Source organism: Homo sapiens, chromosome 7 (genome assembly GCF_000001405.40).
Source record: "Homo sapiens chromosome 7, GRCh38.p14 Primary Assembly".
Classification (NCBI taxonomy): domain Eukaryota; kingdom Metazoa; phylum Chordata; class Mammalia; order Primates; family Hominidae; genus Homo; species Homo sapiens.
The window spans coordinates 132,638,993-132,661,859 of record NC_000007.14 but is presented as its reverse complement, the minus strand read 5'-3'; the positions used below and the strand labels follow the sequence as shown (position 1 = coordinate 132,661,859).

At 42.7% G+C, this 22,867-nt stretch overlaps 1 protein-coding gene and 1 long non-coding RNA gene across 2 annotated transcripts in view; one reads left to right on the top strand and one right to left on the bottom strand.

The window, feature by feature from the left end:
* The window catches only part of FLJ40288 (Putative uncharacterized protein), a 79,976-nt gene extending 66,910 nt beyond the window's left edge, over positions 1 to 13,066 (bottom strand). The window contains exons 1-2 of the long non-coding RNA NR_046323.1: positions 12,817 to 13,066; positions 315 to 379 (exon numbers count right to left, since the gene is read on the bottom strand). This is a non-coding gene — a long non-coding RNA (Putative uncharacterized protein FLJ40288). The remainder of the gene's footprint in view (positions 1 to 314; positions 380 to 12,816) is intronic.
* Positions 13,067 to 13,171: 105 nt separating this feature from the next.
* Positions 13,172 to 22,867, top strand: part of PLXNA4 (plexin A4) — a 525,349-nt gene continuing 515,653 nt past the window's right edge. Inside the window, exons 1-2 of the mRNA NM_181775.4 lie at positions 13,172 to 13,346; positions 15,817 to 15,932. The gene's annotated coding sequence lies outside the window, so the exon portion shown is untranslated. The remainder of the gene's footprint in view (positions 13,347 to 15,816; positions 15,933 to 22,867) is intronic.

The following is a 22,867-nucleotide window of genomic DNA, read 5'->3' as shown; positions in this document are numbered from 1 at the left end:
TGCTATACAAATACTCTTGAAAAGGTAATCTAGAACATAAAATAACACCTTGCTTTCAAGACATGCAAAAAGCTGAGTCCCATGGAGAAGTGTCTCCCAATATTGATCAGTTTTACTATGTTTATGTGAGCAAATTCCAATTTCTTTAACCTTTTTCCCTGGGCTCTATTTCCCTACCCCTTCATTTATTGGGCACTTATCCCAAGTGGTGCTCCATGGCTATTTTTGGGTCCTGTGGTTTCTTGCCTCTTAGGCAGCACCATCCAGACAGACTCTCTACTCTTCTATAGGAGACTTCAACAGATGAAGTTTACCTCCTTGTTCAGGGGTCCCCAAGGAAACTGCACCTGCAAGGTGCATTGCCATCATCTCTTCTGTTCTAGAAAGATGAAGACAAATTGAAGGCAATTCAGAGACAAGTAACTTAGGTGATTGGGGTGATGTCAGGGGAAAGATGAAAAGAACTGCACATGCAAGCGTCTGCTCAGGTTGTGTTGAAGAAATTGGAGAAAGGGGATGTAGGGAAGCTTCCAGTGCCTGAGCGGATCAGGCTCAGAGTTACTTTCAGGATACAGACATCTGACTCGGTTCCTCCCTAGCTTGGCCTCTTTGTGGATCTGTTTCCTTTTTCATAAAACAGGGATGAAAAGGATGCATTGTTGTTGGAGATTAAAGGACATACTGTACATTTATAATCACCTAGAATAGTGCCAGGCACATAGGAAGAGCTCAAGTAATGCATCATGTTTTTGGAACACAGAAAATTTGAGCTAGAAAGAATCTTAGCCTCATATTCAGCTTCTCAGTCTTCAGAGGAGGAAACTGAAGCTCAGAGGCAGAGGTGATGGATCCATGGACACAACACTAGCTACAGGAAGAATATGACTAGTCCTAAATTCATTCTTTCTTTAAGACAAAATAATATATTACGGCTCCCTGTCATTTTAAAGGTGTTTTGATGGTTAATGTCCAGACAGTGAGAAAAAGTGGCACATATTTATTAGGCTTCAAGTTCTTCTGAGTTTCTTTAGAGAGGGTAAGCGCATTGGTGGTAGCTTTTCTGAGATGAAATGTAGCCTTCTCCTTACAAAGGCCTACTGCTGAAGCTCACCTTCTTACTCTGAGTGCTAACACCATGGCTAAATGCATATGGGCTTTTACAACAACTTCGGGTGTTGACACCATGACTGGTTACATGTGGGCTTTTTATTCAGGTGGCTGAGTAGAGGCAGACGCCAGCTCCTTATTTTCCAAGTTCTCTTGTAGGTGTCTGTGGGTATGGGTGAGGAAATGTACTCTAACTTCACAAAAATAAATTAAGCTTCCTCTTGCAACATACGTGAAGGATTCCAATGCTTTTAACTTCTAAGTGATCTCACAAGACATTTTTTTCAATCAAGATACATTGATTAAACAATGATTATTATTCCATCTTATGTTAATCAAAATTTAGCTGCCAATCAGAGCTTCTGATCAGTAAACTGTCATTGCTATCCTACTGGGTTGACCTAATTCTAGGCCATAAATTGAAACATCATTTTTTTTTTTTTTTTTTAGTGTGCCCGGGCAAACCTGTCTCCCATAAAAATTTCTGTTTCATTTTTGGAAATACTGAAAGATGTCCAAAGAGTCCCATTATCACTTTCAAGAAGCGCTAGGGACTGCCACCATGAACCATAGGGTGAAGAAGCTAGGAGGGATCTCAAATAATCTAGTCAAACTCCTGGCATTTACAGAAGGAACAGAGGCCCAGGGACTGGATAATGGCCCAAAGATACTGGCAGAGGCCTCTTGGAGTGGCTTTGTATTAGTTCATTCTCATGCTGCTAGTAAAGATATACCCAAGACTGGGTAATTTATAAAGGAAAGAGATTTATTTGACTCACAGTTCATATGGCTGGGGAGGCCTCACAATCACGGCAGAAGAGCAAGGGACACCTTACATGGTGGTAGGCAAGAGAGAGCTTGTGCAGGGGAACTCCCCTTTATAAAACCATCAGCTCTCGTGAGACTTATTCACTATCATGAGCACAGCACAGGAAAGACTAACCCCCATGATTCAATTACCTTTCACTGGGCCCCTCCCATGACATGTGGGAGCTACAATTCAAGATGGGATTTGGGTGGGTACACAACCAAACCATATCAGGCCTTCCCAGCTCTAGTGATGTCCCTCATTCCTGAGAATGACTGCAGTATAGGGGGAGGCCTCAGGGTCACATCTGGGCTGTCATTCCTCCTGACCTGGACCCCAGAGATAGCAGGTTCTCTCTCCTGGCCTCGAGCTGAGCTTATCAGTCTCTTTCTCAAGAGTTTGACATTTGACACAGGGACTCAGGCTGAAGGTTTCTTGAGGGTAGGTCTGTGAAAGGTGGCACAATTGGAAGGAAGTCCATGCTCTCCTAATGCTGAGTGCTGGAGCCAGTCTCATGCTCTCTCTTCACGTGTCTTGGTTGTCCAACTCTTTCTTCAATTTCATACAGCAGGGGCCTTCCAATAAATTTTTCATAAAAAACAAAGATCATTTAGAGCTGGTTTCCATTACTGGTTACCAAGAGAATTTTAACTAAAAAGATAAAGAATTAGTAAATAGCAATATTATACCTAGAATCCAGGTCTCATGATTTTCAGTCTAATGCTCTATCTGGCACAGCACACTGCCACTCAGAAAAATCCATAAAGTCTTGATATAACTCATGCTTTGAGCGATATAATAATTATTAGACAATGAAAATTCTAGGGGGAAAAACGCAACCTGTTTTGGAATCTTTATTGAAAGCTCTTTTTCAAAGTATGAGATGGGAAAAACAAGTCACATATATACCTAAATATTTGATTGCATTAAACTAGAATAATGCATTCAGTTTACTTTAAAATGAGATATTATTATACAATCTCTAGGGTAGATTTACCAAAGCATTAATATACAAAATAGAAAGACATTCTCTGAATTTTGAAGTATCTTTCACTGGTATGTTTAATAATGCCACCTGGTTTTCTGTGAGTTCCTAGAGGGATGCAAATGAGTATGCTCCTATAGACAAATGAATATGCTTCTCTTCAAGGTTGTGAAGGAAAAAATAAGGATCTTCTATTTTACTCCTGTCCCTGTTTATGAATAGAGAAACCAAGGCATTGAGGCTGATTTAATTGCTTGAGGTCCACTGAGAGGAGGCAGTGGAGGGGTCAAAGGAAGAACTAGAATTAAAGCCCACGTGCTTACTGCTGTCTAAGCTTGGGCTTAGCTTCTGAAGTGAATTTTGAATGAAAGGAGAATGATGGCTTCGTTTGTCTATTACACATCTTTATACTTCCCATGCCTACCATGTAAACAGGCACCTAATCAATATTGATGGAAAGATGAATAGAGGCAGGGAGAGGAACTAAAAAGGAGGATGAAAGAAAAGTAGGAAATAGGGAGGGAAGAAAGACAAAGCTACTGATATGGTTTGGATTTGTGTCCCTGCCCAAATCTCATGTTGAATTGTGATCCCCAGTGTTGGAGGAGGAGCCTGGTGGGAGGTGTTTGGATCATGGGGGTGGATTTCCCCCTTGCTGTTCTCGTGATACTGAGTGAGTTCTCACAAGATATGGTTGTTTAAAAGTGTGTAGCACCTCTCCCTGCTCTCTCTTCCTCCTTCTCTGGCCATGTAAGACGTGCCTGCTTCCCCTTTGCCTTCTGCCATGATTGAAAGTTTCCTGAAGGCTCCCCAGCCCTGCTTCCTGGACAGCCTGCAGAACCCTGAGCCAATTAAACCTCCTTTCTTCATAAATTACCCAGTCTCAGGTAGTTCTTTATAGCAATGTGAGAACAGACTAATACAGCTACTGAACTGGAGAGTGTTAAAGGAGAGCTTATTTAAAAATTGCCCCAGGAAGTCCTGAGGACACATGTCCTGGTTAAGCTATGAGGCAGAGAAGTTAGGAAACCTCTAGCCATCCTGGCTGGAATGGGGATTCATATGTGGAAAAAGGGAAAAGATGCAGAATAGAGGAAAGAGAATCAAAAGAAAGCAAAAGATGAAGAGGTTGAGGTTGACTTTTGGGGAGCGGCTGTGCGGTGCATGGTGAGCTCCCTGTCCTTCCCAGATGCTAGGCTCTCTCAGCTCCCCCTGGTTATTGGCCCCCTCCTCGCTCAAGGTGCCTACTCCTCTCCTGTTTTTGATCAAAGCCAGCCTCCAGGAAGTGGAGGCACATTCACAGCTGAATAAAACACTGACCTCTTTTTAAAGTGTTACCAAGACATTTGCATTTTAGCAGATTTAAACCTTGAGCTACAGAAATGAATTTGTAATGACGCAGTTTGTGTCATCAGCTGGGGGACTGACAAAGTTTCACTTGGTGCCCCGAAATGAATCCCACTGAATGACTCTTACTGCTCAAGTCCTGCTTCTTCCCCAAATGCTCTTCCTCTTCCTACTTCCTGACTCAGCCCTCCTCCATGCACCTGGGCCCTACTCGTCTTCCATCTGCTCGGTTTCCTACCACTTGACTGGTAAGCCAAGCATTAAGGAGTTCTAGTCCCAAGTGCACACACAGGAAGAAATTATGCACTGCATCCAAAAGGGGGTGTGTGCTCTTCCTGCAGAATATGTGGCTTGTGCTTTGGGCCCAGGGTGGCATGTCCCCACTCCTTGAGATGTAATTTGTGCTCCCCAGTGTCACAGGCTGGCCCATGCCATGCCAAGAAAGTTTAGGTAAACAGGGGTAAGGAGGGAAATCTGGAGATGGTTTGAGGCAGATGAAAATAAGAAGAAAGATTAATGGATGAGGAGGAGTCCATTTGGCCACAGTAGTTCGATGCCATACTCACAGATGTCCACCAGGAGCAGTGTTTCCTAGAGGGTTCCTGTATTAGGGTTCTGTAAAGGGACATAACTAATAGGATATATGGATATATGAAGAGGAGAATTGACTCACACGACCACAAGGTGAAGTCCCCCACAATAAACCGTCTGCAAGCTGAGGAGCCAGGAAGCGTATCTGAGTTCCCAAACCTCAAAAGTAGGGAAGCCAACAGTGCAGCCTTCAGTCTGTGGCCAAAAACCTGAGAGCCCCTGACAAATCCCTGGCGTAACTCCAAGTGTCCAAAGGCTGGAGAACTTGGAGTCGGATGTTCAAGAGCAGGAAGCATCCAGCACAGGAGAAAGATGAAGGCCAGCAGACTTAGCAAGTCTGCTAATTCCACCTTCTTCTGCCTGCTTTCTTCTAGCCAGGCTGGCAGCTGATGAGACGGTGGCCACCAAGATTGAGGGTGGGTTGTGCCTCTCCAGTCCACTGACTCAAATGTTAATCTCCTTTGGCAACACCCTCACAGACACACCCAGGAACAATACTTTGCATTATTCAATCTAATCAAGTCGACACTGAATACTAACCATCACATTTACTGTTTTGGTGATCTGGGACCAGGGCCATTAGGGCCCGATGGGAGTCATTTGAATTTCACAGTTAGGAGGTTGAATGAATGGAGAACTTTAAGGGCAAGCAGAGTAGTTTAAAGGTATGAATAAACTGTGTGTGTGTGTGTGTGTGTATGTGTATGTGTGTTTTCCAAATTGGTGGGAGGCTAGCAATTAAGACTTTGTTGAAGAGACCACTATATCAAGAAACTGACATTTTAATAAATCCAGATCAACTTCTGTTTCAACCATTCTGAATGCTAATGCTCTGCTGTGGGTCTGAAATTAGAGCTTTTAAGGACCCATTATACCAATACTTGTCGTCTCTTGATGCCTCAGTTTCCCTTCCAAATGACCATTTCGTTATTGACACGCCTTCAGTTTTCTTTTGCCTTATCAACCATTCAGCAAAAACAATTTAAATTCATGCCTTAGTAAAATTGCAAGTTACTTTGGGTAATGGACCTCCTGGGTCAAAATAGCAAATGATAAGCCTGTAAATGCCAGTATTCTGTCTACTGTATAAAGCTGGGCTCCAGAGGGAAGTGGTTTGGTGGTGTTCCCACTCAACTCGGGTTCACTTACAACTCCGAGCTCCTCTGTTTTGAGATGAAGGGAATGAGGTTTTTTACTGAGAGGGGAATCTATTGGAGAATTCTCCTTCCTTAAGGGAAGGTTCTGGGGTGCACCATCAAGCCTGATGAACCAGCTGCTATAGTTTTCTATCCTCTCAGAACTGGGTAGTGCAGTTTGCAGCCTGAGCCTCGGCCGGCCCTGGGTGAGTTGCTGGTGTTGGGATCTTAGCAGGAGAGGAAGCAGACAAGAGGAGCCCAGCACGGAAGCTTGTGAGCCGGAAGAGGCAATAGCATCTGCCAAGTTGATAAAGAGTAATGTGCGGATCTTGAAATCGCTGAAAGTGCAGAGGGAGGGGCCCTCCGAGAGGGAGAGAGAGCACAATGTCCCACCAGGGAAGCCGCAGCACTTCCTCTCTGGTTTGATTCCCGTTATGCATGTCAGACAGACTTACTCAGAGAAAGAAGGGGGTGGAGGGGAGTAGAAAATCAATTGTTTTTCATAATTATTGATCTCTTTCAATGAATCGCTGTGGTAATGGAGTGGGAGGGGATGGAGGAGAAAGGGTCAGCCCCAAAGGGTGAGTAGCCATCCATTTCGGCACTAGGAGTGTCAGGAGCCCACCGAGGGTGCTGGGCAAGAAACTGCCACTGTGTCCCCAAGACGCTGTGGGAGGAGCAAGGCTCAAGTCTACCCAGGGTTGGGGGAAGGGCCTGAACATGCTTGTTTAAATATTTGGGGTTGGAGATTCATCCAGATGAGTTGGAGTTCTCCACCTCTGTGTTAGAAAATAATACACATCTAATTGCAGAAAAGATGGCTATAGAAAAGAGTACTGTAGTAGAAAGGTATGTAATTTCACGAGAGCATTGCAAACATTCCAATGTTTTCTCCACATATGGTTTATGTACTTATGATAGAACTTACATGTACAATATCATATCTTGCTTTGTTTGCTTATCAATAAGTTGCATTTGCTACACTATTAAAAGCTCTTTAGAACATCCTTTAAATAGGACTTTTTTTGGTATAAAATAACAAATGACCATTACAGAGAATTTGGAAATATGCAAAAAATATAAAACATAAGTAAAAGTATTCAAAATTTTACCACCTAGAAATGACTCCTGTTGATAATTTAGTATATTTCATTCTAAGCTGTTTTCTATACATGTATACATAATGTATTTACCTCCATGAAATTTTGATCATGATGTATATATATTTTTCATATTCTATTTTTTCACTTATGTGACCAAATAATTTTTAAAAACATGATTTTTAATGTTCGTGTAATGTTCCATCATATGTGCTCAGCAGTTTTTATTGTATTGATCCTATTACTTCCAGTGTTTGGGTTATAATAAACAACACAGTGATGGCTTCTTTACATCTATCTTTAACCTCTTCTCTCGGTACCTAGAAAATACTATTTTCGTGGAGATGGAGCTGGATTTCCCCTCAGCTTCAGGTAGAAACTCCACTTCCCCTGGCCTGCTGAAGCTTGGCCCATGCAAATTTCTAAACTTGGCTCAGAACCTGCTGAAAGCCTCTAGTGGTGGTTGTCCCTCACTGACAACCCTCAATTTTTTTTTTCAGTTTAGCGTTTTTCTAGAGCTTTCTGTCTAATACAGTAATACATATGTGGCTCTTCAGATTCAAACTAACTCAAATCAAACAAAATTAGAAACTCAGTTTCTTGGTCACACTAACTACATTTCAGGTGCTCCAGAGACACACACATGGCTCATGGCTACCATATTGGACATAAAGTCACAGAGCATTTCCATTGTGGCAGAAAATTCTATGGGAAGGTTACTCTGGGCACTTCTGATTGACTTGTCTGGGGGGGTCTCTCCAAGTTTTTGGGGCTGTCAGTCTCTACTTGCAATCCCCTTCCACCATCTTCTCAGGCAGACCCATGTTTCAGACTTCTCTTTTTCTGCTTGTACCTAATTTTTGCACCTAAGATGGAGCTTAGAGCAGGTTCTTTTTGTCTCTGGGTGAGTAAGAATTTACCCAGAGATCTGAATGATAAAAGCATAAGTAAGCTTTTCTAGTGCTACCTCCTCAGACTCAATGAGGAAGAAAATGGATATTCCTAGCCAAAAAAGGAAGTTAGCAGAGGTGGCATCTCACCTCTCCAGGCTGGGGATAGCTCAGCTGACAGAAGGGGTGAGCTGTTGTTCCTATAGTCACTGCTCTTAGAGAGCTGGAGCCTTTCTCCTTAGCACAAGGGAGGGCTAGAGCTGCTGTCAGTGTCTTCCAGGCAGGTTTCACAGCAGCAGCTTGGGCAGAGCAAGGCCATCAGTCACCACTTCCCCTTTATATAGGACTGGCCAGGTGTCATCAGACTCTGATAGCACGTAGCAAGCAAGCAGGGACTGAGGGCCCTGGCACGTCGAGGGAGACCAGGTGTTCAGGAGTGAGCAAGTCACTTAAACACACCAGGATGTTGAGAAGCATAGGGCGGGACACAAGTGACACACCAGCACTTGTGAAAAACATAGCTCCAAGCCATTTACATTCACATTTCAACCATGGTGCGAGGATCCAAATTCAGACTGTTGTGGTCTAAGCAGATGGCATCAGCCAGGTGTATAGAAAGGCCTACAGGCTTTAATTACTTGGGGGGCGTATTAGTCTGTTCTCATGCTGCTAATAAAGACATAGCTAAGAATGGGTAATTTATAAAGGGAAGAGGTTTAATAAACTCACCATTCCACCTCACCATTGTGAGGGGAGGCCTCACAATCATGGTGGAAAATGAAGGAGGAACAAAGTCATATCTTACATGGTGGCAAGCAAGAGAGAGCATGTGCAGGGGAACTCCACTGTATAAAACCATCAGATCTTGTGAAACTTATTCACTATCCCAAAAACATCATGGGAAAGATCCGCCCCCAAGATTGAGTTACCTCCCACTGGGTCCCTCCCATGACATGTGGGAATTGTGGGAGCTACAATTCAGAATGAGATTTGGGTTGGGACACAGCCAAACCATATTGGGGGACAGTCTAGTGGCCAAAGAAAGTCTAATTACAAAGTGAGATTTGTTTGAGAGGCAGATTCTAGACCCCAGAAGAGATTGGCTCCTCCCAAGACAGGTTCTTATCCCTTGTCCACTGCTTCTTTTCAGAAGACAGCAGCACTGTGGGGAAGGAAATGGAGATTGCTTGCCCAAGAGGAAGTGAAGAAAGGAGACATTCTCCAGGACTCAGGTTAGCTCCTAGAGTCTTAGCTCTGTCGAAGTGAGAGCAAGAGCCAAGTTTGTCCTGCTCAGTGACCAGTCCTCAGGGCAGGCACATGGTAGATGCTCCATAATTTTTGTTAAATGAATGAATAACAATGATTTTACAATTTGAATTTATCTGGCCTTAATCAATCTCAACATGCCCCCAAAGGGCAAGTGTATTTCAGGGAAGATAATAAGATTTGGGACCAGAGATGGCTTTCCCTCACATTCTTTCTTAGTATTTTAAATTTTAGTATATATATTTAATAAGTGTATTAATAAATATATGTAGAGTCTATATAACAAGGTAACAAATAAAGCATACTAATGAAACACACACTGCTGAAGCCACCACCCAAATTAAAAATCAGAGTTTTACCAATAAGATAGATGCTCTCTGCATTCTCCTCCTCCAACAGACTCCACGGCCCTGCTCTTCCATAAAAATAACCACTATTTTGAATTTTATGCTTATCATTCCCTGAACTTTTAAAGTATAGTTTCACCTCCTCATCTGTGTGAATTATTAAGCAATATGTTGTTTCATTCTGCTTGATTTTGAGTTTAAAAAAGACATATTGATGGTAGTCCTTTGAAACTTGCTTTCTATTCAACATTATGTTTCTAAGATTATCCTTGTGTCTATATTTACATTTACTTTTCACTGCTACCTAATTTTCCATTATGTGAAGATACCAGACTTAGTAGGCACTCTTTCACTGATGGGCATGTAGGTTGTTTCAGGCTTTTAATGGGAACATTATGGTTGTGGATATCTTGCATATGTCTCTGGGTACACATGTGTAAGAATTTCTGTAGGATGTGTACCTGGAGTGGAATCACTCACCCTACGGTAGGTGCAATTTTAACTTTCAAGGTGTTTCCATATTATTTTCGAAAATGCCTGAATATACTCCTGACAAAATAATTATACTTCTGACATAAGAATTCCCATGTCTCCACATCCTCACCACCACTTGTTATTCTCGAGTTTCTTAATTTTTGCCAATATGGTGAGTATGATATTGTGCTTCTAATTTATATTCTCTTGACTATTAATGAAATTGAACTTCTCTTCATATTTCCTCTCTTTAATTTTGTTTTTCATATTTCCTCTCTTTAGTGGCATCCTTTCTCATGCCTTTTGCTCTTTTTCTTTTGGGTTTTGTCTTTTCTTTGACTTTTAAGAATTATTTCTGTGTTCTAGATAATAATCCTTGGGTGATTAAATATCCTTTCAATGTTTTCTCCAGTTGCTATTCACTTATTTAATGGTATCTTTTGATACCTCAAAATTCTTCTTTCTTTTTGAATGGAAGTTCTTGATTTTAGAGTAGTCGACATGTATCAATCTTTTCTTTTTGTGTCCCTTTTTGATTTTGAGTTTGTAAAAATACTCTCCTTTCTTATCTTCTAAATGTTTTAAAGTTTTTTGCTTTTTGTATTTAAGTCTTCAGTGCACCTGGAATTTATTTTTATGTGAGATAAGAATAGTGATTCACACATTTCCCTGGATATCCCATTGGGATATCCAGTGGAATATCTTTGTGTGGATAGACAATTGTCTTGGCACCATTTATTTAAATTAATCCTATCCCCAGTGACCCAAAAGCCACTTCTGTATCAAGAATATGGGTCTACCTAATAAATCTTGAAATCTGGTAAGGCAAGTCCCTTAGTTCGTTATTCTTGAGTGTCTTTCTTTCATTCTTAATCTGGAGGAAAGATGGCAGTACTCGTGTCCAAGGTCATAAGTAGCAGGGACTTAGAACTCTGACAGTTTGTGTGTGATGCTTGTTTATGAGGGCTGCATCAAGTAGACTATGCCAAAAACATCTGTCTGTGGTGCTGAAGTCCCCAATTCAATTAAGGAAATTCCAAGTCTCATTTAGCCTTGGGCTATACTTTCAATATCCTTCTAAGTACTGAATTCCTAAGACAGTGAAACCATCTGACAGGAATGTTGGGGTTTACCCAAGGACAGGATATCAGTGTTTGGCTTGTAAACCAGATGCGGTGGATGTGACAGTCCTGGGAGGGAAGCAGCATGGTCTCAGGATGGCTTGCAGCCAGTGGTGCCGTCCTGTCACACATTAGGAAGAGAAAATGAAGCAGAAGAAAAACGCTGCCTGAGATGTTCTCAGCAAAGTGCTTTTCCATCAAAGCCTCTGCTTCTTGACAAACAGACTCTGAGATGCATCTAGGAATAGCTCTGATGTAGAAAAATACAAGGTCAGAGACACATCGGGTATGGGAAGAGTCCATTTACTCATCTATACAATAGCTATTTATTGAGTGCCTACTATGTGCCAAGCACTATTCTATGGGCTGGGATTCAGCCTTGAACAAAACAGACAAGTTGCTGACGTTTGAATGGGGGAAAGCAGACACTAAACAGCTAAACAAATGAGCCAGATAATCTTACCTATGAATAACAGTTATCTAGAAAGGAAAACTGCATGATGCTCAGGGAAGGTTTCTCTGGGACAGTGTGAATGGCAGGAAGCGGCAGCCTCGGCAAGATCTGCTGTTCAACTCAGTCCTTCAACAAAGGCAGCTCAATAGAGCAGCTGGACCCAGGTGTTGGCACTTCTGTTCCCTTCTCTTGCAGAGACCTGGAGTTTTCTTCCATGCTCTTGGAGGTGGTCTTTCACTCACCAGCTGCCTCACACCCTATCCCCCATCCAATCCCTCCTGCGGACTGTGGTGGCCTCCTTAGAGAGCTGCTGCCTGACACTCGCTCTTCAGAGTTGCCATTGTGTTCTTCCTGACCAGCCCTATCTGCATGAGCTATGGGACCGTGTGCTCTCGGCTGCCCCAGCCAACCTGGCCTTGCCTGTTTTGCAGTGATGTACCAGGCTGTCTGGGGATTCAGGCTCCATTGCTGGAGCTGTCCTTCACTCATCAGGTTCAGAGAGCTCAGAACCAGAAACCAGGAGACCTAGGTTCTCATCCTAACTTGCTATGTGACCTTGGTTAAGCCTGTCTGGACTCCCATCTATAAAATAAAAGGACTGCATTAGTGATTCTCTAACTGTTCTGTGGGACCCAGGTCTTTTCTCTCTGCAGAAGTGATTCGAATTTTATCCAAAAACTATTTTTATGGTTGTAATAGAAAAAACAAAACTCCAATGGTTTATATGCCAAATATCAACAGTTTAAAACCCAACATGTTAATTTGTTTTGCTAGGCAAACTCGTTTTTGCACAGATCTTAGACTAAATCTCTTATTGCCATCTGTGTGTGTGCATGTGTGCATATATATATATGTAAACTATTTATTAAAATGTCATTGATTTGGATGCTTGTAACTCAGCTCTTATCTGGGATGTCTGCACCTAATAAACAGTACCAGCAAGTGCATGACTACAGTGCATACGTTCCCTGAGCAACTCACCACCAGGTCTGTGCTAGCAGCATGTTCTCAGTGAACATTGTAATATAGGCTAGGCCTGGCTTTTTTTTTTTTTTTTTTTTTTTTTTTTTTTTTTTGTAGTTAAATGTTTTAGTTGGAAGGAACTTTAGATATACAGAAAAGTTGTCAAGACAGTAGACAGTTCCTATGTATTCTTCACCAGCCTCCCCTAATGTTAACCTTTTACATACCCCTCATCGCATTGGCAGAGCAGGGAAATTAACATTGGTACAGTACTGTTACCCAAATTACAGACTTCATTCAGATGTCACCAGCTCTTCTACTACTGTTCCCGGGTCCCCTCCAGGGTCCCACATGGCATTTAGTTGTCAGGTCTTCTTAGTCTCCTCCAGTCTGTGTTGGTTTTCCAGTCTTGTTTTTCATGACCTTGACACCTTAGAAGAGTGCGGGTCGTGTATTTTGTAGAATCCCCCTCAATTTGGGTCTGTCTGGTGGATTCTCATGATTAGACTGGGGTTATGCATTCCAGAACCCCAGTCTAATTGTGAGATGAGTTTCAATGCATTCCAGAACCCCAGTCTAATCATGAGATGCAGACCACATGGAGACCTTAATGCATGGAGATCTTGCCCACTAGTAGCGTGGCCCAGCGTTTTGGGACACAGCCCAATCAGACCAGTATTTCCCCTCTGGAGCTGGATTGAGGAGGGAACATGGGGACTGAAACCTTGAATGCTTCTGCTTTAATTACCCCGAAAAGGTAAAAAGCATTGGGCGGAGGAGCCCCCTCATTAGGGATCACTGGGGATACTGAGCAGCATTACTGTTGAGAGTGTGAAGGCAGAGGAAAGCTGAGATACAGCTCTTAGTGATGTCCCTTGGCTGAAGCCCCATGGGAAATGGCCAAATTCTATATTTTATGTCACTGAAAAATTGGTAAGAGTTGGAAAAAGGGAAGGTTCTGTAAGTCACTAGTCTCAGTAATCAGGAATTATTGATACTGTTGGAAATGGAAAGCGTTTCTGTGCTTAGAAGGACATACACGATGTGTGAGTGTGTAAGTGTATGCATATGTGTGTGTGACACAGTGTACATGAGTATATGTGTGACTGAATGTATGCATAAGTGTGTGTGTACGTGAGTGTATGTGTGAGTGCATATGTGTGTATATGTGTATATGACACTGAGTTTGTGAGTTTGTGTGTGTGCATGAGTGTATATGTGAGTATATATATGACTGTGTGTGTGTGAGTATATGTGTGTTTGTGGGTATATGACTGTGTGTTCATGAGTGTTTATGTGAGTATATATGTGACTGTGTGTGAATGTGTATGTAAGTGTATGAGTGTGAGTGTATGACAGTGTGTGTTCGTGAGTATATATGGAAGAATGTGGATGTGTGTGAGTGTATGTGTGTATATGATAGTGTGTGTTTATGAGTGTATATTTTGAGTGTATGTGTATGTGTGTGACTGTGTGTGTATATGTGTGTATATGATAGTGTTTGTGAGTGTATATGTATGTGTGTAATTGCTTGTGTGAATGTATGTGAGTATATTGTGACTGTGTGTGTTTGTGAGTGTGTATGTGAGTATATGTGTGACTGTGTGTATGTGAGTGTATGAGTGTGTATGTGTGTATGATAGCATGTGGGTGTTTGTGAGTGGATAACAGCATGTGTTTGTGAATGTATATGCATGTGTGTGACTGCATATGTGTGAGTATGTGAGTGTACGTGTGTATATGATAGCATGTGTTTTTGAGTGTATGGAAGTGTGTGTTCATGAATATACATGTGAGTATATGTGTGACTGTGTATGTAAGTGTGTGAGTGCATATGTGTATGATAGTGTGATTGTATGACAGTGTGTGCTTGAGAGTGTATATGTGCATGACTGCATGTGTGTGTGTATGTCAGTGTATGTGTGAGTGTATATGTGTGTATATGATAGCATGTGGGTGTTTGTGAATGTATGACAGTGTGGGTTTGTGAATGTATATATATGTGTGACTGCATGTCTGTGTGTATGTCAGTGTATGTGTGAGTGTATATGTGTGTATATGATAGCATGTGGGTGTTTGTGAATGTATGACTGTGGGTTTGTGAATGTATATATATGTGTGACTGCATGTGTGTAAGTCAGTGTATGTGTGAGTGTATATGCGTGTATATGATAGCATGTGGGTGTTTGTGAATGTATGACAGCATGTGTTTGTGAATGTATATGTGTGTGACTGCGTGTATGTGTGTATGTTGGTGTATGTGTGAGTGTATGTGTGTATATGATAGCATGTGGGTATTTGTGAGTGTATGACAGCGTGTGTTTGTATATGTGTGTGACTGCATGTGTGTGTATGTTGGTGTACGTGTGAATGCATGTGTGTGTATATGATAGCATGTGTTTGTGAGTGTATGACAGTGTGTGTTCGTATGTGTGGCCGTGTGTCTGTGAGACTGTGGAACTGGCAGTGGCTTGGGAATTGGGTCCTAGTTCCAGCCTAGTTTCATGCATTCAACAACTCTACATCTCAAATATCCTCTTTCATAAGATGAGCCCACCAGTAGGGCTCAGACTGAGTGGCCTAAACAACAGGCATTGATTTCCCAAAGTTCTGGGGGCTAGGAAGGCCAAGAGCAAGGTATCAGTAGGATTGGTTCCTGGTGAGGGCCCTCTTGCTGGCTTGCACATGGCCACCATCCTCACTGTGTCCTCACAGGGCAGAGAGAGCACTCTGGTCTCTCTTCCTCTTCTCATAAGGACACTAATTCCATCACTGGGACCCTGCTGTCATGACCGTATCTAAACCTAAACAGCTACCAAAGGCCCCATCTCCAAATACCACCACATCGGAGATTAGGGATTCAACATAGGAAATTTAGGGAGCCAGAAACATTCAGTCCATAACAGGGAGGGAATACAAAAGAGACTTCCCATGAGCCCAGGTGTTCTGAGTGGAAGAGACTGAGGGTGGAGGAGGAGCTTGGTGAGTCCAGCCCTTCAGCTGTATCCTCGGATGACTCATCCCGAGAGAGTCCGTAGCTCTTCCAGGGAAAAAAACACCAAGGGACTGACAGAGGGGAGATTAGTGTGTTCTATGAAGCTTGTCACCTTAATGGCCTGATGAAAGGAGGTGACAGAGAAAGATCAGAATAATACCGTAGATCACTTAATGGATTGCCACTATCATTAACAGCCTTAATTAGTCCATAATATACTGTACCTCCACAGCAAGTGCCACTGTTAGAAATGGAAATCAGGCCAGCTGCTGGGGCGGCAAGCAGCAGGAATGCAAATGTCCATGACCCCTCAGATCCACACAAAGCCTTCTGACCTTGGAATTTAAGGTACTGGCTCAAGCACCAAATTCAGTCCTGAGTTTCTAATCAAGCCTGTCTCTGGCTCCTCTCTCTTTACAGTCCTGTTCTCTTCCTCACTGCTCTGACCAATCATTCTAGCTCTTACTGCTTTCGCTTCCCTTGATGGTAATGCCACCTTACGTGTGCCCATCACTTTGTGCTCTTCCCAACTTGTGTCTGTGAGACTGTGGAACCGGCAGCAGCTTGGGAATTGGGTCCTAGTTCCAGTCTAGTTTTATGCATTCAACAACTCTACATCTGAATTTCTTTACTCATAAGATGAGCCCCTACCAGTGGGCCATAGCAGCCACAGCTGCCTAAGATCCTCTCCCAGTATTCTTACAGAAACTGTATATTAGTCCATTTTCACACTGCTATAAAGAAACAACCAAGACTGGGTAATTTATAATGAAAAGAGGTTTAATTGACTCACAGTTCCATATGGCTGGGGAGGCCTCAGGAAACTTACAATCATGGCAGAAAGGGAAGCTGGCACCTTCTTCACAAGGCAGCAGGAGAGACAGCGCACGTGAAGGAGGAGCTGTCAAACACTTGTAAAACCATCAAGTCTCATAAGAACTCACTGTCATGAGAACAGCATGCGGAAAACTGCTCCCACGATCCAATCACCTCCCACCAGGCTCCTCCCTCGATATGTGAGGATTATGAGGATTACAATTCAAGATGATATTTGGGTGGGGACACAGAGCCAAACCATATCAGACTGGGACCATGAAATGAGGGCAAAGGAAGCGGCTGCATGAAACTTGACATCTGGTTACATTGTAGGTTCTTAATGGGCATCGTTAGTAACAGGTGGCTCGCCCCTGTGGCCCACACTCAGCTCTGCAAACTAAGCTGACACACCTGAGAAGGCATCCCAGTGCTTCCTGACCCAGAGCCACTGGGTGTGGTCCTAACCCGAGGGGAAACATCTGTTGGTCTCTCCAATACCCTCAGGCTTTCAGCTGTGCCCATCTCTCTTGACCTGTACCTGAGCTGGGCACACAGGGTTGGCAGTTGGTTTGGGAAGTATGAGAGAGAGAGGGAGGTGGGCCTTGAGATTTTTGTCTCAAGGTCCTAATTGTCCTTTTTGTCAAAGGTCCTAATAAAGCACTTTCTCTGCCTCTCAGATATTGATTCATCATTAATTTTGGACGGGGCATGCACATCATATATTCTTTCCAACCACAGATCGACTGCCATTATTTCCTTCATCATCTTCCTCTTTAAATATATCACGAAGGAATTACAGTGGCTGGGACCATCTATTTCCCTGGAACCAATGCTGAAAGGGGGCTGGGATAGCAAATGTCCTATTAGAGTAAAGTAATGTTCTCCCCTGAATTGAAATGCGCCTTTCTGGTCACCCAGCCCCTTTGATGGTGAAGAGGCAGGAAGCTGTGGAGCCAATTGCTCCCTGTGGAGTGAGAAGGAGGACACTGGGCAGAAGCTGCCAGGCAGAAGAGCCATGGGGCAGCCAGGAACACAGGCCACGACCAAGTCTATTGTTTGCTTTGGTGCCAGAGATTCTTGAGCAAGACGAAGGGCATATTTCTTGGTTGTGATAGTGATAATGAATGTTTCTTGAGTGCTAACCATTTATCAAGTGTTAAGCCAAGATTTCAAGCTAAGCCTAAGCACCTTGCAACCGTCCCATGAGGTGGGCGTTGCTACTGTCTCCATTGTACCATGAGAGGAGGTTAAGTCACCTGCCAGGGAGACAAAATCATAGATGTGGGGTTTGAACTAAGCTTTGCTCAACTCTGGAGCCATTTGCTCACTCACTCCTCTAGGCCACTGCCTTTCAAACACTTTTGGCTGCAACCCACGGTAATAAATATATTTTACCGATGACCCACTATCCACACACATATTTGAAATTAAACATTTTCACAAAATAATACTTATTTTTACTAGTGTGTGATATATTCTGACTTTTGAAAATTTCCATTCTTTTTTTTTAAGAGACAGGGTCTCCTTTCACCCAGGCTGGAGTGTAGTGGTGCGATCTTAGATCACTGCAGCCTCAAACTCCTGGGCTCAAGCGATCCTTCTGCCTCAGCCTCCCCAGTATCAGGAACTATAAGCATGGGCCATTACACCTGGGTAATTTTTTAAAATTTTTTTATAGAGATGGGGTCTTGCTGTGTTGCTGAGACTGGTCTTGAACTCCTGTCCTCAAACAATCTTCACCTTGGCCTCTCAAAGTCCTGGAATTACAGGTGTGATCCACCTCGCCAGGCCCTCATTCTTTTTAAAAAAGGCTTGTTGGATCACCAAATTGATTTCACAACTTACTGGTGGATTGTGAACCCTCAGTTTGGAAACCCTTCCCCTTGGTGCCTGTGAAAGTCATTTTAACCACAAAGAGCAGTTCTAATGCGGCCTCTGAGACTGGGCTGGAATTTCTAGGAGGAGGGAATTCCTCCAGCTTGATTATGCAGCATTTGGGTTTGGGGCAGACTCTAGAGGCTGCTTCGTGTGGGGTGGGGGCTGGGGGGTCAAGTGAGTCAGCACACCTGGCGGCTGGAATTAAGACAACTTTGCTGTGTTTCACGTGTGTGTTAGGCACTGTGGGGGCTCTGAACTTGCACTTGAAGATTCCTGCCCTTGAGGAGTTTATGATCTTTCTCAAAGAGCATCTCTGTGTGAAACAGCAGAAAAACAATACCAGACAGACAGGATCCTGCAGGAAGCTGAAGGAACATGGAGGAGCTTCATCATTACCTGTCCACATGCAAGCCTTCCCACAAACAGAGCCACAGTCTTACATGAGCTGCCCTTCCACTTAAAACATCTTTCTTCTTCCCCCTCCTCCTCCTGCAGGTCTGAAAAGATTCAATGGCAGACCATTGAAATTCTCCCTCCCACCCCATCCCCAGCCACCTAATACCCTTCTCTGGAGGTAACCAGCCCTTTTAATTTCTTGTGTATCCTTCAAGAAATAGTCTAGCACATATAAGCATGTGTAAATTAATTTTTTAACACAAATTATATCGTATCATACTCACTGTTTTGCATCCAGCACTTTCTATCTAGCACCTTTTGCATCTAGCACTTAATTTGTCTTGGAGATCACTGCATAGCAATAAAGAGTTCCATGTTGGTTTTTTTTGGAACTTTCTAAAAATTTCTGTTTGGGTGAACCGTAGTTTCTTTAACCAGCCCCTTATGGATGAAACGTTGAGATTGTTTGTAATCTTTTGCTGTTATAAAAACTGAAGCAGTGAGCAACCTTCTTGCACTCTGGGATGTGCCTAGAAGTGGTGAGGTGGGCCCAGGAAGGCCTCTGCCTGTATCTCTGCTCTGTGCCCTGTCGTTCCCCCCTCCCTCGCCCTCAACTTCAAGTCTGTCTGCCTCCTCCCTAGTTTCTCTCTCCAGGCCCCTGTGCATGCTGTTCCTTCTCCTTGGAATATCCCTTCTCCCTGGCTGACTCCTAACTCACCTTCTGGGTCTCAGCTTGAGAAATTCTTTCTTAAGGGCAACCCTGTTCATCCCAGCATTCTGTAGACTTGTAATCAATCACTTAATACTATACAGGGTTACCCTAAGGTTTGTATGCTGTTAGGAATTTTAATACATTTATTTCTGTAATACAAACTGCTAGATGGAAAATAGAGGAAATTTAATCATAATTTACTATATTTAATTACAGAAATGTTGGCTTTCGACATATCCAGCATCATTTTAGATATATTTGGATAGAACCATTCTGTATACAGAAGGGTTTATTACCTAGAAAATTAAAGAAAGAAATTAGAACAAATAAATCATTAAAAATGTCATTGAAATCTTCAGTAAATTCATTTTCTGTCACACTTTGCAATTTGCTTATATATTATATAGAAGCAAATTTATTAAAAACTCAAACTGCACAAGAATTACATGGATATCCTAATTTATTTATTTATTTATTTTACCATATTTCATCTAAAACACACACACATTTCCCCACATTTAACATTTCTGAAAGGGGGATGTGTCTCACTTTTAAATGCTATCTTATGATGCTGTGGGCTGGACAGCCACATTGACTGCTGTGATCATTGTCTGAGCATGCACAGACTTGGTCATGGGTACTTATGTTGTCGTCCCTCCAGTGGAGTTAGGTGCATGATTGACATTGCATATCTGGGGTTTAGTTTATATTTAGAATACCTCTTAAAAAACAATATCACTCTAATTTGGTACCGAAACAAAAAGTTTATATAGAAAGAAAACGGAATAGCAGGGTATCAATTTGATGCTAGCAAGCAAAGCAAATTTTTTATTATTCGAAAGATAAGATCACTATTCTCTTGCAAAGTGACAACAAAATGCTTTACAAGACTGTTGTAGCCTGAATTGTGTCCCCCTTAAAGTCACATGTTGGAGCTCTAACCCCCAATGTGACTGTATTTGAAAAGAGGGCCTTTGAGGGAGGTAATTAAGGTTAAATAAGGTCATATGGATAGAGCCCTCATCCAACATGACTGGTGTCCTTGCAACAAGAGACACAAGGGATGTGTGAGCACAGAGGAAAGGCCATGTAAGGATGCAGCAGGAAGGTGGTCATTTGCAAGCCAAGGAGAGAGGCCTCAGGAGAAACCAAAGCTGCCTGTACCTTGATCTTGAACTTCATTCCCCAGAATTGTGACAAAATAAAGCTCTGTTGTTTAAGCCACCCAGGCTGTGGCATTTTGTTATGGCAGCCTGAGCAGATTAATATAAGGACAAAGAAAGAAAGAGTCCACAAGGAGATCAAGCTATGTTACAGTTACATTAGTGTGCAAGAATTGTGTATCACAGGCAAGCATGGAAGCATCAACATCCGTTTGTATGATGAATGTCAAGAACTTGGAAGAAAGTCTTGGAAGCAATAGTGGAGCAAACTTTTAGAAAATACAGCCTCATCCATCATCCATCCGTGGTGCCATTTTCAAGTCTGAGTTGGAAAGTGATTCAGAAGCCTTTGACACTGAATAAGAAGTTTTAGGGACAGTGTAATTAATTTATTTTGCTTTTATTCCCCTTTTTGCCTGTATAAGAGCAACACAAAACTAAATGATTCTAAAAGAGTTTTTCAATAAGTGTAAGAGTTCTAAGTGATAAGAAGTAATTGTGTTTAATTGGCAGGGCCCCCCCCTTTTTTTTTTTTCAGTAGACATAAGACAATGGTGTGTCACAAGGTCAATAGTGTCCTGGATTTGATGAAACATGGTGTATTGGTCAGCTTGGGCTGCCATAACAAAATACTGCAGATTGGGTAACTGAAAAACATTGATTTTTCTCATACTTTTGGAAACCATAAGTTCACGATCAAGGTGCCAGCATATGTGGTTTCTGGTGACAGCTCTCTTTCTTGCTTGCAGATGGCTGCCTTTTCTCTGTGTGCTCTCATAACCCCTTTTCTTTGTACATGCAGAGATAGCAAGCTCTGGTCTTTCTTCCTATTCTTATAAGGACACCAGTCATATGACCTCATTTAACCTTAATTACCTCCCCAAAGGCCCTATCTCCAAATACAGTCACATTGGGCTTAGGGCCTCAACAAATTAATTTGAGGGGGATGCGATGCATTCCGTAACCTATGGCTATATGCATTTATTTAGTGTAAGTTTCTCCTACCAATTGAAAGATCCCTGAAAGCCATAACTTCTTTGGTTGTCAGTTCTATGCTGATCATGTCTTCTCTGGTCACTGTGTACCCCAGCACCCAGCACGTGGTCTGGCATGCAGTAGATACTCCAGGAACATCTGTTGGCTCACTGCCATCTCTTCCTGATCCTCTGCAAGAACAGAGCACCATTTCTGCTTTGGGAAAGAATAACAGAGATATCTCATGTATGCTTCAGATGCTGGTGTCAAGGCCAAATCCTGTCTTAGTTATAATTACTTATCATGAATGATAGCGCAACGCTAGAATATTGGAGCTCTGCAATCCTTAGAAATCTAGCTGAATCCCCTCGACTCACAGATGAGGAACCTGGACAGTGTTCTTACCCGAAGCCAGTTAGAGAAAGGGCTGGGGCTGGAGCTTGAGTCTCCTCTGTGGTGCCCTTTCTACCCATGACTCTCATCATGGTCTGGAAATTTACAAGTGTCACATGGAAGTGGGTGCCATGGCTTTAAGACTTTTACAATTTGAGTGTAGAAGCCAGGAAATTTATCATTGGAAAATTGCTTGCATTTGTTTCCTAGCTATAGATGAAAACTTTAACATTATTTTGGAGAAGATTAATCCTTTGTTCTGCAAGACCCCCTGAATGGCCCCTTCAGTTCCACCCACGCTGGGGAACCAGGTAGGGGTGGGAGGCGGCAGTGTTGACTCAACGCAGAGGTAAAGCCTGGAAAGATAAATGTTCTTTTTAGGAACATTTTACTACTGGTGATTGTGGGGGCGCATGGTTCTTGGCAGGGCTTCAGTGAATGAGGGACAAGCTGAGTGGCAAATATTATATTTTACTTTGCCTGAATTCTTGCTTTTTCTTATACACACAATGATGTCAGTGTATACATGGTCATGATGGTGAGAGTTTGGGGAGGTTGGGAGCTGCTTTCAGGAAAATAGAAACAGAGGACGCAAGAGCATGAGGTTTGATCTTCCCTTTGGGCTGGAAGTGGAAACTGAGGCACAGACTACCCTGCTATAGAAAAATTAGCACAAAGGCCTAAGGACTGGAAGAGTTATCACTGTCCCTTTTAAATGAGAAGCCCTGGATCTGGGCACCCAGGATATGGAGGATGGATCAGCACTGAATCTCAGACAGAGAAGCTATTCTGGGCCCACTGGCCTGGGTTATAAGCTCAGCACCGTGATGGGTGTTCTCAGTCCATCCTTGGATGGTGAACTTTGATATAACCCAGATGCTGCAGAGTTGCTGCTCTGGGATGCCAACCCCTAGAGCACCATGCGAGGGGTGCCCACTGGAACTGGGAAG